Raw genomic sequence first — 17,978 nt, forward strand, 5'->3', positions numbered from 1 at the left:
CAATTGCATATGTTTTGTGCCCTGTAAGTTCAAGTATTCAAGGCAATATATTTCCACTAATTTCCTAACAGAGTACATATTTCTGTTTACACTTAATGTTGAATGCATGTAGACACAGCCTTAAGCAAGTGATTTCTGCTGCCAGATATTATGGTGGAATACAATTATTCGAGAATGACTAATTTTCATTGAGTTCCTACTAAGTGGCAGTTGCTTTGTAAAGCACTAGGGAAAGAATAAAAAGAATAAGACATACTTTCCGCCTGTGAGGCATTCACAATCTAGCAGGAAAGGATTAAGTTAACTAAACCATGTATCCCATAAAGTTATATGAAAGGGAAGGTGGGACACAAAGGCATGATCAAGAAATAAATCTTGAGAAAGGTAATGTTTCATAAGGGCCTTGGATAGTAAGTCAAATTTTAACAGGAAGAAAGGAGAGTAAGGACATGTTGGACAAAAGTCTTGGAAACAGACTAGAAAGGACCTAGGATGGCAACATTTAAGTATTTACTATTTGGAATGGCAAGAATTTAATGAGGTATATAAAGCAGGAGAGTGACAGCACTGTATCAATAGAAATAACTGATAAAATAAAAACTAGTCTGCACTTAGCCAACCATACCCAAGGTTCTATTTTGCTAACATTAGTGTGCTTAGTGTGCCAGATTTTTTTCTATTCAATTGTAAATGTATGTGGTTGCACACACACTATAAATACATTTCTCTGCATGAGTTGCATATGCAAATACGTATATAGGAGGCAGAACTTCCAGAGTGACAGAGTCAAGAGCTAGGAGTAACCTAGCCTAGAAAAGGAGTAACCTTTTCTTGGCAAAACAAAAATTTTATTGTTGAAGACCATAAAAAATATTTATAGTCTAGGGAAATTGTCTAAGAGCATACAGGAATTGAAGAATCATTCACTGGAAAAATCTACTAAGTCTCAGTAAGAACAGTGAGTTTCTATAGTATTTGGGTCATGACCCACTTGCTTTCTACCCCCTTCAGCCCAGCATGCAAAAAACTATATTGCAGATTGGTATAGCCAAAAACACAGGGCTCCCTTTTCTGATCCTTTCCCCCACCCCAGCTTTCATCTACGGAGCTCTGCAACGCTGCCTGAGGGTTTTTATTATTATTATTGTTGTTGTTAAAAAGCATGGGGAACTCTGTGACTAAGAGAAGTATTCAAAATAATGGATATCTTAGTGGTGAGAAATTAAGAGAGACTAGAAGCTCCATGATACAAAGCATGATGCAATAGAGGGAAACATTCAGAGCTTTAATAGAGAGAACAAGGAAAAGAGATATCTAAGAAGAGTACTCCTGGAATCATACTCAACCCCGGGAGTCAAGAAGGCTGTGCTTCGCTCACTCAGAAGCAATCAGCACAGGAAGTGGACAGACTTGAAGGTGTTTTCAAAACCACACACAGACCAATTACAAGGGCACACCCCTCAATGGCACAAATGCTTAAATTCAACTTCTTATGAAACAAACACTTACTGGCAAGCTTCTCTGACACAAGTGTGAACTCCTAGGAAGCTATGTTTAGAAATAAATCATAGCCACCACTGGTAGTCTGAAAGAGTGTGCATGCCCAATGCTGTGCCCTCAAAACAGCAATGAGAAGAATAACCTCCAAGGTCTTGGTCCCAAGCTGAATTTAGACAGTAGTCTGTAAGCCACATACATATTCAACATATCAACATATGGAGGAAAGATCTTACTGGCTGAGAGAGTTTAATCATAACATTTGACTAATAAGTGGCTATGCTGACTAGGACTGACCTATAAGTAGCCAAGCTACAAGATTAAAACAAACAAACCAAAAAAAAATCTGACCAGGGACATAAGAGACTGCATGCTGAAAAGTAATGGATTTCAACCATGTTACTAAACAAATAAACAAAAAAACCAATCAAATAACAATTACTCCTTCCTGTAGCGGATCTATATTCAGATTTGTTATACTATCTAAAATAAGCTGTTTTCAATAAAAAGTTAGGAGACATGGAAAGAATGTGAATGTAATGCATACACAGGGAAAATGGTCAATAGAAGCCCTTCCAGTTTTTCTGTTCTGTTTTTTCCCCATCTTTGTGGTTTTATCTACTTTTGGTCTTTGATGATGGTGATGTACAGATGGGTTTTTGGTGTGGATGTCCTTTCTGTTTGTTAGTTTTCCTTCTAACAGACAGGACCCTCAGCTGCAGGTCTGTTGGAATTCCCTGCTGTGTGAGGTGTCAGTGTGCCCCTGCTGGGGGGTGCCTCCCAGTTAGGCTGCTCAGGGGTCAGGGCTCAGGGACCCACTTGAGGAGGCAGTCTGTGGAGTTCTCAGATCTCCAGCTGCATGCTGGGAGAACCACTGCTCTCTTCAAAGCTGTCAGACAGGGACATTTAAGTCTGCAGAGGTTACTGCTGTCTTTTTGTTTGTCTGTGCCCTTCCCCCAGAGGTGGAGCCTACAGAGGCAGGCAGGCCTCCTTGAGCTGTGGTGGGCTCCGCCCAGTTGGAGCTTCCCGGCTGCTTTGTTTACCTAATCAAGCCTGGGCTATGGTGGGCGCCCCTCTCCCAGCCTGGCTGCCACCTTGCAGTTTGATCTCAGACTGCTGTGCTAGCAATCAGTGAGACTCCGTGGGCGTAGGAACCTCCAAGCCAGGTGCGGGATATAATCTCGTGGTGCGCCGTTTTTTAAGCCCGTTGGAAAAGCACAGTATTCGGGTGGGAGTGACCCGATTTTCCAGGTGCCGTCCATCACCCCTTTCTTTGACTCGGAAAGGGAACTCCCTGACCCCTTGCGCTTCCCAAGTGAGGCAATGCCTCGCCCTGCTTTGGCTCACGCATGGTGCATGCACCCACTGACCTGTGCCCACTGTCTGGCACTCCCTGGTGAGATGAACCCGGTACCTCAGATGGAAATGCAGAAATCACCGTCTTCTGTGTCGCTCACACTGGGAGCTGTAGACCGGAGCTGTTCCTATTCAGCCATCTTGGCTCCTCCTAAACCAAGTAGTTTTAACAGACATATGGAACACTCTGCCCAGCAACAGAATACTAATTCTTCTCAAGGGTACATGGAACATTTTCCAGGATAGACTATGTTTGGGCCTATACATTGTCTCAGTAGGTGTGAAAGGATAGCTATGAAACAAAGATTCATCTCTTACCACAACAGATGAAGTTAGAAATCAGTAACAGAAGGAAAACAAGAAAATTCATAAATTTGTGGAAATGACAAAACACACTCAAATAACAAATGAATTAATAAAGAAATCACAAGGAAAACTGAAAAATATTTAAGATAAATGAAAATATAAACATAACATACCAATATTTATGGGGCACAGTGAAGGCCACACTAAGAAGAAAATTTATAGCTGTAACACATTAAAAATTAATCAAAAATGTTTTAAATCAGCAGATTAACTTTATAACTTAAGGTACTAGAAAAAGAAAAACACAAAGGTAACAGAAGGAAGGAAATAATAGAAGAGCAAAGATAAATGGGATAGAGAATAAAATAATAATAGAGAAATGCAACGAAACTAAAGTTGGCTCTTTGAAAAGATCAAGTTTGACAAACCTTTAGCTAAATAAAAAAAGAGAAAAAGCAGGGCAGAAAAGACTCAAATTACAAAACTAAAAAATGAAAGACATTACTACGGATTTTATAGAAATAAAAGGATTATAAGACAGTACTACGAGCAGTTGCATGCCAACAATTGGATAACTACATGAAATCCTTATAAACTCGAAAGCTACCAAGACTAAACCATGAAGAAATAGAAAATTTAAATAGAACTATATAATGAGTAAGAAAATAAAATAAATAATAAAAATCTCCCAACAAAGTAAATCCCTGGACCTGAAGCCCTCACTAGTGAATTCCACTTAATCTTTAAAGGATAATTAATGGAAATTTTTTTCAAAGTTTTCCAAATATATTGAAGAGGTGAGAGCACTTCCTGACTGACTTCATGAGACAAGCATTACCCTGATGCCAAAACCAGGAAAACACAATTGAAGAAAAGAAAATTACAGACCAAAATCACTAATAAACATAGATGCAAACGTTTTCGACAGTATACTAGAAAACTGAATTCAACAGCACATTAAAAATTTACTCACTTGGAAAGCAAGGTTCAATGTATACAAATCAATCAATGAAATATACTACATTAAGGAAATGAAAGAAAATATTACACGATTATCTCAATTGATGCAGAAAAAGCATTTGACATAATTCAGCCTTACTTCATGACTGAAAAAAGACAAAGTAGAAATAGAAGGCAATTACCTCAACATAATAAAACCCATATATAAAAACTCCACGGCAAACATTATATTAATAGTATTAATAAAAAATTGGAAGCTTTCCTTTAAGATCAAGAACATTTTTTTCTCCTTAGAAAACCAAAAAAGTGGGCCATACACAGTGTCTCATGCCTGTAATCCCAGCACTTTGGGAGGCCAAGGTGGGCAGATCACGAGGTCAGGAGTTCAAGACCAGCCTGGCCAACATGGTGAAACCCCCATCTCTACTAAAAATACAAAAATTAGCTGGGCATGGTGGTGCATGCCTGTAATCCCAGCTACTTGGGAGGCTGAGGCCGGAGAATTGCTTGAACCAGGACCCGGGAGGTGGAGGTTGCAGTGAGCTGAGATTGCACCACTGCACTCCAGCCTGGGGTACAGAGCGAGACTCTGTCTCAAAAAAAAAAAAAAAAATAAAGAAAAAAGAAAAGAAAACCAAAAAAGTACTTATTGATTGATTCTTTAGAGGTTTTTTAAATAAATTTATACACGATAATTGTACATATTTATGGTGTACAGAGGGATGTTTTGAAACATACAGTGTATAGTAATTGGATCAAAGTAACTACCATATTCATTATCTCAAACATATATCATTTCTTTGTTCGGGGAACACCAAAAAACCTCCTTCTGGCTATTTGAGACTATATGATATATTATTGTTAACTATAGTTATCATACAGTGATATAGAACACTAGTACTTATTTTTCCTATCTAGCTGTAATTTTGTATTCTTTAACAAATCTCTCCCTACCTCCCCATTTCCCCTATTTTTTCCAGCTTATAGTATTCTTTGTTATATTTTTTATTTCTATGAGATAAACATTTTCCAGCTTATGCCTATGAATGGGAATACTTCTCACTTCTATTTAACATAGTACTGGAAGTCCTAGTCAGAGAACTTAAGCAAGAAAAATAAATTTAAAAATTCAATCAGAAAAAAAGAAATAAAATTATCTCTGTTTTATGATTTCATATGTAGAAAACTAAAGATTCTATATAAATATATACACAAAATACTCAGAATTTAAATGAATTTAGCAAAGAAGATATAAAGTTCAGACACACAAATCAGTTGCATTTTTATATACTAATAATAAACATCTAAAAATAAAATTAAGAAAATATTTTCATTTGCAATACCATTACAAATAATAAAATACTTAAGAATTAACCAAACCAAGGAAGTAAAAGACTTGTACAATGAAAATTATAAAACATTAACCAATAAAATTAAGGAAGACATCAATAAATGAAAAAATATCTCACATTCTTGATTAGGGGTTAGTATTGTTAAAATTTCAACAGTACACAAAGTGATCTACAGATTTAATGCAATCTCTATCAAAATGTAAGTTCAGTTTAACATCCAAAAGTTAATTTATGCGATATGCCATGTCAGTAGAATAAAGAAAAACTATATGCTCATCTCAATAAATCCAGAAAAAAATTTGACAGAAATACAATACCAAAAACAAACAAACAAAAAAACTAGGAGTAGAAGCCTCACCCTAGTAAAGGGGATTTGCAAAAAAATTAACAGCTACCATCATACCTAATGGTGAAAGACAATTCTTTTCTCCTAACATCATGAAAAATATAAGGATATTCATTCTTGCCACTTCTAACGTTGTACTGGGGGTGCTGGCCAGGGCATGTAGGCAAAAATAAGAAAGAGAAAGTACCCAGATAGGAAAAGAAAAAATAAGACTCTCTATATTTTCAGATTACATAATTTATATGTGTGTATACACCTATAAATATACACTTGTTATGAGCATTATAAAAACTGAAATTAAGAAAACAATTCCATTTATAATAGCATTAATAACCCAGAATACTTAGTTATATGTTCAAAAAAGTAAGGACAAAACTTGTATACTGAAAACTAAAAAACATAGGAAGTAATTAATTATTTGTATTTACCTTATTATTTCCCTGATCATTCTTACCACCACAGAGATTGAAGACTTTATTGGGCAGTTTGCTTCTTCAGCGATGTACTTATTTGTATGCATTGTTCAGTATTCTTCTGGGATGTCTGTTATTTTCCTATTCAGGCATTGGAACTCCTTTTAAAGATACAAACCCTTTTCTTATAAATATTGCAAATATTTTCTCCTGACAAATCATTTGTCCCTTCATTTCGTTTAATTTTATTCACTTTTCTACTTTTTCTCCCATATTTGCTCTGCTTCAGGCACTCAGTCCCTTAGATGTTCTCTAAACATTAAGAATTTGCGGCCAGGCGCGGTCGCTCACGCCTGTAATCCCAGCACTTTGGGAAGCTGAGACGGGCAGATCACGAGGTCAGGAGATCGAGACCATCCTGGCTAACACGGTGAAACCCCGTCTCTATAAGTCTTTATTCTAATACAAAAAATTAGCCAGGCGTTGTGGCGGGCGCCTGTAGTCCCAGCTACTCAGGAAGCTGAGGCAGGAGAATGGCGTGAACCGAGATTGCGCCACTGCACTCCAGCCTCGGAGACAGAGCGAGACTCCGTCTCAAAAAAAAAAAAAAAAAAAAAAAATTAAGAATTTGGAATTTTCAATGACTGTTCTCTTTGCCTAGAATGCTTTTCTCTGGATTCTCACCCCTTAACCTCTCCAAGTCTTTGTCACATATCACCTTCTTAATGAGGCCTACACTAACCACTGTATTTAATTTCAGCACACTCCCGTTGCCACAAAAGCCAGGCCAGATCATCTTTACTCTGCCTTTTTTTATAGCACTTAGAACCTTCTAAAAGAATATATCATTTATTTTTATGTTTTTATTCCCTGTTTTTCCAGTAAATTTAAAATTAATAAGAGCAAGTATTTTTGTATGTTTTGTTCCTCATATATACCAAGATTTTTGAACAGTTAGTACATGTTAGGGGCTTATAAATATCTGCTGAATTGTATAATTTATGATCACTTCTTCCAAATAAGTTTTTAATGTTTTATGTTATCAAATCTAGAAGAGATACCTCTAAGAATAAATATATCTTTATCTTGCTGTGTCGAGATATACTACACTAAGATTAGGAACATATTCTCATTTATTTTTTATTATGCTTTTATAATAATTATCATTGTTGATTTACACTTACATTTTGACTTGAACTAGAGTATAATTTGGGTGAGGTAGAAACTTTGAAAGCTCTTTCATTATAAAACCTAGTTGTCTTAACAGTAGTTAGAGAACAGTCGATTCTGTACCCATTAATAATTAGCATGACCTTTAGAATATGCTAAATCTCATTTGTATTGCTTTCTGAATTTTATTCTTTTTCACTCTGCAATAACTTTACTTAAAATAGTTTTACACCTAAAATTATAATAAATTTATAGATGTATTTGGGTGAAACTGCCCCATATTTTCTAGTTGAGTATTTGCTAATTTCTAGAAAAATTAATCCCCTATATTCAATCTGTTCATTCCTTCACAAACTACTATGACCAGATATTGAATCTCCTCTATATATATTCTATACCACATTAACTTTCTTTCATAACTTGTACTTTTATTTTTTTAATGTCTTTGAGATTCCTACTTAATTATTCAAGTTTATCTTTTGTTGTGTCCAACCGCACAAAAGTTTCACTGATATTTTTAAAGATTTCATACATACAGAGAAGTACATAAATGTACACGCAGAATTTAAAGAGCATTTTAAAATGAACTGTGATAATTTCATCTAGAAGGGAAAATGGAACATTTTTCCATGTATTTTTGAAAATTTATTCTGAAATAATTTTACTAACTGTATATTCGGATATGTGCTATTATACTCATCTATTTGGTGTTTTTTTAATCTAACTTTCTGAGTTCTCATTTCATTTCATACTTTTGCAAATATGCTAGAAAATTTTTAGTTTCTTGTTCCATACATGCATTTTTTCCAATCTTCTATTGCTTTAAACACAAATAATTATAATTATTTTATAATAGGTATTTTAATAATTCTGATATCTGGCCGGGCGCGGTGGCTCACGCCTGAAATCCCAGCACTTTGGGAGGCCGAGGCGGGCAGATCATGAGGTCAGGAGATCGAGACCATCCTGGCTAACACAGTGAAACCCCGTCTCTACTAAAAATACAAAAAATTAGCCAGGCGTGGTGGCGGGTGCCTGTAGTCCCAGCTATTGGGGAGGCTGAGGCAGGAGAATGGCGTGAACTCAGGAGGCGGAGCTTGCAGTGAGCCGAGATCCTGCCACTGCACTCCAGCCTGCGCAACAAAGCGAGACTCCTTCTCTAAATTAATTAATTAATTAAGATGAAGACATTATCTTGAATTATACAGGTATGCCCAAAGTAATGTCAAGGCTCCTTATCACAGGAGGGCAGTAGCATCACAGTCAGAGAAGAAAGTATCATTGTGGGGGGAGAGATTACAGGAAATGAGAAAGAGGTCATGACCCAATAAATTCATCCTGCCTCCAATATGGAAAAGGCAAGAAAACAGATTTCCACCAGAACCTCCTGAAGAAATGCAGCCCTGGTGACCCCTTTATTTTTGGAATTCTTAACCTCTGTAATTATAAGATGATAAATGTGGGTTGTTTTAAGATACTACATTTGGAGTAATTAGTTACAATAACAATAGGATACATACGGTTATTTAAGTAATTTCTTAATTATGGTAACTTTTCCCTATGTGCTTTGTTATTTTTCGTTGTGAGCCGTATGTTTTTTTTCCAGAAATTATTTGTGAGACTTCTTCATAACGAGGTTGAAGGTGAGTTTCTCTGGAAAGCATTCGCTTATATCAAGGCTTATGTGTTCCGCCAATACCAGTCTACTGTAAAGTATTTTCATGTTGTGTCTGTATTTTTGGACCAACAAATAAATTGCCCTGCTTATGTTTTCATATCTTTTCTTTTTCATCCTGTAAGTGTTTCTTCTATTTATAAACAACCAAAGATGTGAGGATAAAAATAAGACTTTTTTTTAATGTCCTCACGTTGGTTGTTGGTTGTTTAAATTGTAGAGCATCAGTATGTTACCAAAACACCAGGGGTTCGGTCTGGGTTCTGCTACCTCCCACACAGAAGGGCAATGACTGAGACAATGAGTATTGCCAAGGAAGAAGGCTTTAATCAGGTGCTGCAGCTGAGGAGATGGGAGCTCAGTCTCAAATCTAACTCCCTGACTGACTAAAACTAGGGGTATATAGCAGGGAACAAATAAAACAATGTGTAAGAAAACAGATAGTAGGGACGGGCAAGTAAGCAATCATGATGAATAAGGGGTTTGGTCATTGGCCATTGTCTGACGTGATCTGGTGAGATTCAGTTGTTTGATACATTTTTTTTTTTTTTTTTTTTGAGACAGAGTCTTGCTCTGTCTCCCAGGTGGGAGTGCAATGGTGCAATCTTGGCTCACTGCAAACTATGCCTCCCAAGTTCAAGTGATTCTCCTGCCTCAGCCTCCCGAGTAGCTGGGACTACAGGCACCTGCCACCACGCCCAGCTAATTTTTGTATTTTTTAGGAGAGATGGGGTTACACCATGTTGGCCAGGCTGGTCTCTAACTCCTGACCACAGGTGATCCACCTGCCTTGGTCTCCCAAAGTGCTGGCATTACAGGCATGAGCCACCATGCCTGGCGGATATTTTTTTGCGGGGGAGGCCTGAAGGTCCTTTTCTGAGGAAGGAACTCATATAAAAAAATATAATCTTCAAGCTTTAAGTCCATAAGGGTTAATTTCAATCTGTATCCAAAAAACTCCATATGGGACTATCAGTTTCAAGTACAGCACTGTAGATAGATGGAATTACTCTCTACAGCAGACTACCTTCTACAGTGAGATAACCGAAAACTGTTAGTAAGAAGGCTTTCATTTGTGTTACCTGAGAGAAGAGGAGGAAGGTGTTTAGGAATTCGTGCATTTATCTTTTATTATTCTTATTTTTATCTTGCTCTTGCCTTGTGGTTGCTAGGTTTTTCTGTCCTTTAGTTGTTGTTATTGCTATTCCATCTGCTTTTTATCTTCCTTACACCATTAAAAAAAAAAAACAACGGTTTGAAGAAACCAGTTTGAAGTCATAATCAAAAGAGACATGGTAGCTACATATTGTATAGATTTTATAAGTACCTGAGAATATTACATTATCATTAACCTTAACCAAATGTCACAGAAAGACAGTATTTTGCTTGCAGGAAAATAAAGCTAAGGGTGTGGTATGATGAATTTCATATTCATACTTTGTATAAAGGCAGATGCTTGCATGATTTGGAGTTTTTCCAGGCTTAAAGACTATAAACTTTATCAAGAATCTCAACCAAAGACAGTTGTTTCCTCCATACCATCTGTGCAGCAGCAAGATGTTACATAAAAATCCAAGCCAGAGATGGTAATTATGATAAGGATATATTGGTACACTGATGAACATTAGTTATCATTATAAAATTTAATTACTTACCATTATTAGTAACAGATGTATTGTCCTGTAAAATAAGTACTATTACAGATATTTTAAAGAAAGAATGAGAAACGTCATTTGTTGAAAACTATTTGACTTCTCTACCATAGAACAATTGATTGAAATTTACTTTAAAAAATTTTTACTTTTTATTCGTCTACATATATAATAATGATTACTTGTTTAATTCTGCATAATTGGGTATCTGAAATTATGTACCTGGATCCCAGAGTAGTCTATGTTAAAGTAGCTTGGTTTCATATCAAAGCATGAGACTCTCTTTATGTGACATGCACCGTGTTATAACCCAGGCCACCTTAAATAAGTTGATAAAGATCCTTCAAGATTTGTTTTAACTCATTCATTCATTCAATCAGCAAATACTGAGTATAAGGCACTTACCTAAATGCTCAATATACATCAATGAACAGAGAAGATGAAGTTCTTTTACCTCCTGGAACTTATAGTCTAGCAAATAATTTATTATAAATACATAATGTATAAAAGTGATGTGTTATGACAGAAACCTTAGAGTATGATAAGAAAGATCAGGAGTGCTTTGATTTGGCAGTTTTAAATAGGATGATTATGGTGGGCCTTCTGAGAAGGTTTTATCTGAGTAGAAACTTAAAGGAGTCATGGAGTTAGCCATGTGGATATCTGGAGGAAGAGCACTGTATGCAGAGGAAACAGATAGTAACCAGGCCCTGAAGCAGAAGCATGCCTGGCATAATTGGAGAATAGTGAAGAACCCAGGTTTTTCTGAATAGATTGAAAAAAAAGGAAAGGAGAGAGTAGTAGGAGTTGATATCAGAGAGAGATTGGAAGGACAGATCATGAAGGACTTTATGGGCCATTATGTGAACGTGGGCTGTTTCATGAAAAAAATTGGGGAAAATTTTGAGTTGAACAATGAATTTAATCTGGCTTTTATTGTAAAAGGTTCCCTCTGGCTGCTGAGTGGAGGAGAAACCAAAGTTAGGAAAGGATAGAAAAAGTACAATGATGAGCAGGCTACTCTGTTACGTGGACAGGCAATGATGGTGGCTTGGTTTAGAGCCAGTGGTAGATAAATGCAGGACATATATCAAATCATCAAGTATATAAATTATTACAATTCTAGATTATATATTGGCCTCCTGACTGCCCAAGTGAATACTTTTACTTGAATATAATAATCAATCACTTTAACTTCAAAACCAAAAATAGTTAATGAAATTTTCATGTACTTCTAGTTATGAATTCTAAAATAAATGGATGATATTTTCTTTTATTTCCATAGTAGTCGTGGTTAAGAACTAAAGGTGTAGGATAAAGCGAGAAAGCAAAGCAGGGTTAATGAGCTTCAGAAATGATAGCTCTGTTTGCTGGACCTAATTCAAAGTGGAAATGTAGAGGAGAGTGTTTGAGCATGGTGACCTCATGATTTAAAATGTAGAAAGCAGAAGTATTGATCTTTTCTCCTTCTATCAATCAAAAATGCCAGAGAGAGTCGCACAATTTATTATTCTTCCTGTTCAGTAAGCAACACTGAAGAAAAGCAAGAAAGTAGGGCTTTGCTAAAGCAAAGCAAAGGAAGGATACTTGGCCACAATAAAGATTCAGTGATACCTTGCTTTACTGTGAATTCGTCATGGACTTAGGTGTTTGCGAGACAGGGAGTCAAATAGAGACTCTACCTTTTCTTTAGCCCCGTGTGTCACCTTTAAAAAGTTAAGTAATCTCACCAAATTTTATATTCCTTATTTTTGAAATATATTTTTAATATCATCTAAAATTCATAACAATTTGTGATCATAATTATAATTTCATCCTCCTTATTACTAGCTATTATTGACTATTTTGTACATCAATTGAAATAATATTGTATAAAATTAGATCTCACTGTCCTCTGTGCCCACTTTCCAAAAAAAGGAAAAGGTAACTAAGACAACCCACAGTGTACATCGTGTATATTTTCTGGAACAAGAAAGAAAATGCCTAAAGAGGAAACTGAACAGTTGGTATCTTGTTAGAAGGGGATTTTTTTTTTCCAGTTTCAACAATAACCTGATGAGGTTGCTAATATTTTCCACCTCAGCTTGTGTTTATTAAGATGATTTTAAAAGGCAATGAAGTGGAGAATGCATTGGAAATCAGGCTAAGTGGCTACATATTTTATTTAATTATCTGATGAAAAGGGCAAAACAGTGAGAAGAGCTCTTCTTTTGGTACATGCCAAAATAGACGTACTCAGAATGGAATTCTGAACAAGCCTCCTCTGCACTTAACTAAGCCCTTCTCTCTGTCCCCACGTGGCTTACTTGACTGAAAACAATTCACTAATAGGTACAGAGAGCACCTATATGATATGCTCGACATTGAACCAGGTATTGTAAAGGAAGCACCAAGATGACACCTTTGTAATACTGATGATGTAAGAATGGCAAATATGAATAACAGCAACAAGCCTGAAAGATAAGAATTGTGTAATAATGTTCATAGTAACAGCTGTATGTTCTGTGTAAGGCACAGAACTAAGACAGCCTCAGAATACTAGGGAAGGGGCCTGGTGTGGTGGCTCACCCCTGTAGTCCCAGTAATTTGGGAGTCTGAGGTGGGAGATGAGCCCAGGAGTTTGAGACCAGCCTGGGCTACATGGGGAAATCATGTCTCTATAAAAAAAACAAACATTAGCTTGGCGTGGTGGCACACATCTGTAGTCCCAGCTACTTGGGAGGCTGAGGTGGGAGGATGGCTTGAGCTCAAGAGATAGAGGTTGCAGTGAGCTGAGATTGTGCTACTTCACTCCAGCCTTGGTGACATAGTGAGTCTCAAAAATAAAAAAAAGAATGATTTATAATCCTTTGGGTATATACCCAGTAATGGGATTGCTGGGTCAAAAGGTAGTTCTGGTTTTAGATCCTTGAGGGATCATCACAGCAGCACTGTTCACAATAGCAAAGACTTGGAACCAACCCAAATGCCCATCAATGGTGGACTGGATAAAGAAACTGTGGCACATATACACCATGGAATACTATGCAGCCATAAAAAGGATGAGTTCATGTCCTTTGCAGGGACATGGATGAAGCTGGAAACCATCACCATCATTCTCAGCAAACTAATACAGGAACAGAAAACCAAACACCTCATGTTCTCACTCATAAGTGGGAGTTGAAGAACGAGAACACATGAACACAGGGAGGGGAACATCACACACTGGGGCCTGTCAGGGGGTGGGGTGGGGAGGGAGAGCATTAGGAGAAATACCTGATGTAGATGACGGGTTGATGGGTGCAGCAAACCACCATGGCACGTGTATACCTATGTAACAAACCTGCATGTTCTGCACATGTATCCCAGAACTTAAAGTATAATTTAAAAAAAAGGAAGAAAGAAAAAGAAAAGAAAAAGATAGGAATAATAGGGAAGTCTTTATAGTTGAATGTGAGATTCAAGTCATATCTGGAAGAATAGGTAAGCTCTGGATATTTAGAAGAGAAAGGGATGCTAGACTTGGAGTCACACAAATCTGTGTTTCACTCTCTGCTCCATTACAAGATGCATCACCCTTAGAAAATTAGTAAGTGCTAGGTTATTTCATTGTATGTTGGAATTAGACTAGAATCTGTCATGTGTGATCACTGTGAGATTTCAAGAAGGTGATGCATATGAAGTACTTCACACAGAGCCTGTCATATAGCAAGTTCTCAGAAAATGATGGGAATTGTTCTTGTTCCTTTTATTGTAACTATTATTATTAATTAAATAAGAATAACAACACTGACCTCAGGAGATTATTGTACAGGAAGACTTTCAACACCATAACTGGTTTTTGGAGCATATGCATCTGTAATTAGTTTTGGGGCATATGCATTTGCATATGCATCTGGAGATGGGAATAAGGCATGCAGTGTTTACAAAACAGTGAACACAAAACCTTATGAGAGCTAAGCATAGAATTCAAGTCCAACTGAACAAAAAAGAAACAAGTTTCATACTGGAAGATGTTGGTTAAATGCTTTGAGATGGGAAAACTGGAAGTCTTTTGCTTTGGTTTAGATTAGCAATGTGTTTAATCATTTGTAGCAATTGTATTACAATTGTATAATGGCCCCCACCTGGGGTGAAGGCAAAGATTCTGAACATACAAGGCTGTGCATCAGAGTGGAATGAGGCCATTATTTCCTTTGGGTAAGATTCATTTCTCTTGCACGAAAACACCCGGTGCTCTTTGTTTTTCAGTTCAACATTTCTAGTGGAAATAATTTATGGTAATACAGGCAGATATCATGGAGCATGTAAGGAACTGAAATAAATTTGAGTCTCAAATGAGAAACCTTGGAGTGTTGACAATAGCAAGATGGTCCTTTGGAAACAGCAGGTCTCATTATTTTTCCACACTGATCATCAAGGGATTTGGCTGTAAGGGGTGGTTAAGTGGCTGAAGTTTTAGTTTTGACTTCCTTCTCCTCTACTGAGACAATTACTGTCAGGGTCAATTAGTCTTCCCAAATTTGCAGATAAAGTTCTATGCCATTATCATTTCAGATATTGTTAAAGCAAGTCTCAAATACCACAAGTCTGTCAGCTGTAAATGGGCATTAAAAGTCTCTGACAATATTGTCTTGTGGTTTAGTTCCAACTTTTCTCTTTTATTTTTTCCTTTCTTGAAATTAAATTAAAATAAAAATAAATTAAAATTAAAATAAAAAATAAATTTAAATTTAAATTTAGGAAAGGTTTTGGCAAATTTTGTATCTTGAGATACATACCATTAATAAGATTTGAACTAAAGGATGTTGAGCTAAAATAATTAATGTAATTAAAGTAATTAATGTAAATATTATTTAGACAGAAATCTTGATATTTAAATGCATTTTTCACTGATATAATCAATTTGCATTCCTCTGTAAGAGACTAATTCAACAAGTAAAAATGATTGATTTCAATGAATTAGAGCAATTGAAAGATGCATCTCTAAAATGCTACTAAATACATAATATTTCTTCAAACTATGATATTATCTGTTTTCGGATAGAGAAAAAAATTGTAAACTTTTCTGATTATTCTGATTCCGACTCAAGTAGAAAACAAAATAAAACATAAATACTCTAAGTGTTTAAGTCCTCAGAATTCTGAACAAAAGAACAAAAATAATTTGAACACCATACATTTCCTCCTGCTAGGGTTGGACATTTGGTTTTATGAAGGTCATTTCCCAAATGCTTCTCACAATTAAGCATGCAATATCGCTGCTCTGTTAAGATGGGATAAGGTGACGTCCCTGTTTTATGAAACTCATTACCAACAACTCAGTGTGCACCTAAATAGCCTCTGAAGAAAAACAATGTGCCCAATTCCTGTTTGTGTGGCACATAAATATAATGTTGAAAACTGTTGTGTGTCTTCTTTGGGGAAACATATCTGAAATTGTTCATGTGTCTAGTAGCAAATGTTTATGGATGGATTTTCTTCCTGCCTCCCTCACAGCATCCTATCAACATTAGAGATACAAACTGAAAGAGATTGCAGAGGGAATGACTCAAGCCTAGGAAGAATTGACAACTAGTATTTCTTACATGTACTTCCTTTTTAGAAAGCTATAAAGGATGAGTATTTTAATGGTTGAGGAAGAAAAACATGCCAACAATTCTATACCAATAAATTATTCTCTGCCCTTGAGAAATACCATGAGGATGTGATGAACTCAATGGGGTTGCTGGTACTGAAATAAATGAAGAAACAGGATCCCTCTGGTCTTACTGTTCCATCTCATGCAGCAAGAGGCCTTTAAAATCTCTCTACATTGACATGGAGAAAAATATAATAAGGACGTGACATGTCGAAAGGGTCAAGCCTCAGAAATGAGAATTGGTTGCAAAAAATATGTTATATTCACACAGTGAAATGCTTTATAACAATTATTTTAAAATTGTACTGCTGATATATGCTGGCTTAAGAATTTATAGATGGTACCTGTTCACTCAAAACTTTTAAATAACCAGATCTTCTATATCTTTACATTTTTATTTGCTTGGCATGTAAGTAACCCAAAGTGATGGAGTATATTATGGCCATTATAGTACTAAACTGTGCAGCTTTTCTTGTAGATGTATTGACTGTATTATTTGTGTGTTTGGAGCTATTAGGTCCAAACAAGATAAAATTATTGTATTTCTCTCAAGAATTGGACCTTTCTCATGCTATGACTACCTCTATTCCTAATGATGTTCCTTTCAAAAATTTTTCTGGTAAAGTTTTCTTTTTTTATGTTATTTTAACTGTTCAAACTTTATTTTGTGTATTACTTTCCTGTTATATTTATTCCTTATACTTGTACTCTAATACTTGTCCTTGTGTTTTTAGGTGAATCTCTTAGAAGTAACATAAACTTTGATCTTTATTCCACTGTGATGATAATTTTTGTCATCTACCTAGTGAATTTATTGTCTTTGTGATTACTGGGATTATAGATAAGCTGAGATGTTTCTCACATCTTTGGGTTTTTGGTTGTGGTGTTGTAGTTCTACTTTCTCTATAATGCACCCTTCATTCTTGCCTTCTTTTCAATAAATTAAGTTTTTAAATTTTGTCTCAATTTTTATCCTCTACTAACTTAGATGTTTCTAAATATATATCCCATTTTAAGTGTTTAACTTCAACAAATATACATGTACACTTCACAAGTTCTAAAGTCAATCCGTATCTACCTTCCATTCAAATAAGATGTGTTTACATGTTTAACTCTGCCAGCCTAACAACTTATGTTTTTTTTTTGCCAAAACTTTACTTTTACACCTTTAATTAAGCATTATGTAATACTATTTTACAAACACTATTTGTAAAACACAATAAATATTGTATTTTGTATTTATTGTATTGTAAATATGGGATACATATGAACAAATACTGTTTGTTCATATGTATCCCATATTTACCAATTTCTATATATGTTTTTACTCTTTGCAACTCAAACTTTCATTCTAATGTCATTTCTCTTCTGCTTGAAAGTTCTTAAGTGAGGATTTATGGTTGTTAAACAGTCTCAGTTTTTTCCCTTTAATAATGCCTTTAGTTTGTCCTCATTCTTGAAAAACAGCTTATCTTTTCACAAAATTTTAGATTGACAGATTCTGTCTTTCAAGAATTCGATTACATTTTTTGAGTATTTAGTTGCTGAAGGCTAAGACTGCTGCACTGCCAGAAACAAAGTTATATTACTTTATGGTTTTTTTTTTTTTCAACCAATGTTTGCTACAACAG

The 17,978-nt window shown here is 35.7% G+C and overlaps 1 long non-coding RNA gene across 1 annotated transcript in view, besides 1 other annotated feature; it reads right to left on the minus strand.

Annotated features, from left to right (window-relative positions):
* Positions 2,119 to 2,634: an enhancer, noted in NCBI's record as "H3K27ac-H3K4me1 hESC enhancer chr5:161957797-161958312 (GRCh37/hg19 assembly coordinates)". NCBI's record gives its function as "activates a minimal SCP1, AML or CMV promoter by ChIP-STARR-seq in naive H9 embryonic stem cells {active_cell/tissue: H9 hESC(naive)}" and the evidence as "EXISTENCE:reporter gene assay evidence [ECO:0000049][PMID:30033119]".
* LOC105377697 (uncharacterized) overlaps positions 6,271 to 17,978 on the minus strand; it is a 56,743-nt gene continuing 45,035 nt past the window's right edge. The window contains exons 8-10 of the long non-coding RNA XR_941159.2: positions 16,405 to 16,516; positions 10,158 to 10,300; positions 6,271 to 6,391 (exon numbers count right to left, since the gene is read on the minus strand). This is a non-coding gene — a long non-coding RNA (uncharacterized LOC105377697). The remainder of the gene's footprint in view (positions 6,392 to 10,157; positions 10,301 to 16,404; positions 16,517 to 17,978) is intronic.

This window comes from Homo sapiens, chromosome 5 (genome assembly GCF_000001405.40).
Source record: "Homo sapiens chromosome 5, GRCh38.p14 Primary Assembly".
NCBI classification, from domain to species: domain Eukaryota; kingdom Metazoa; phylum Chordata; class Mammalia; order Primates; family Hominidae; genus Homo; species Homo sapiens.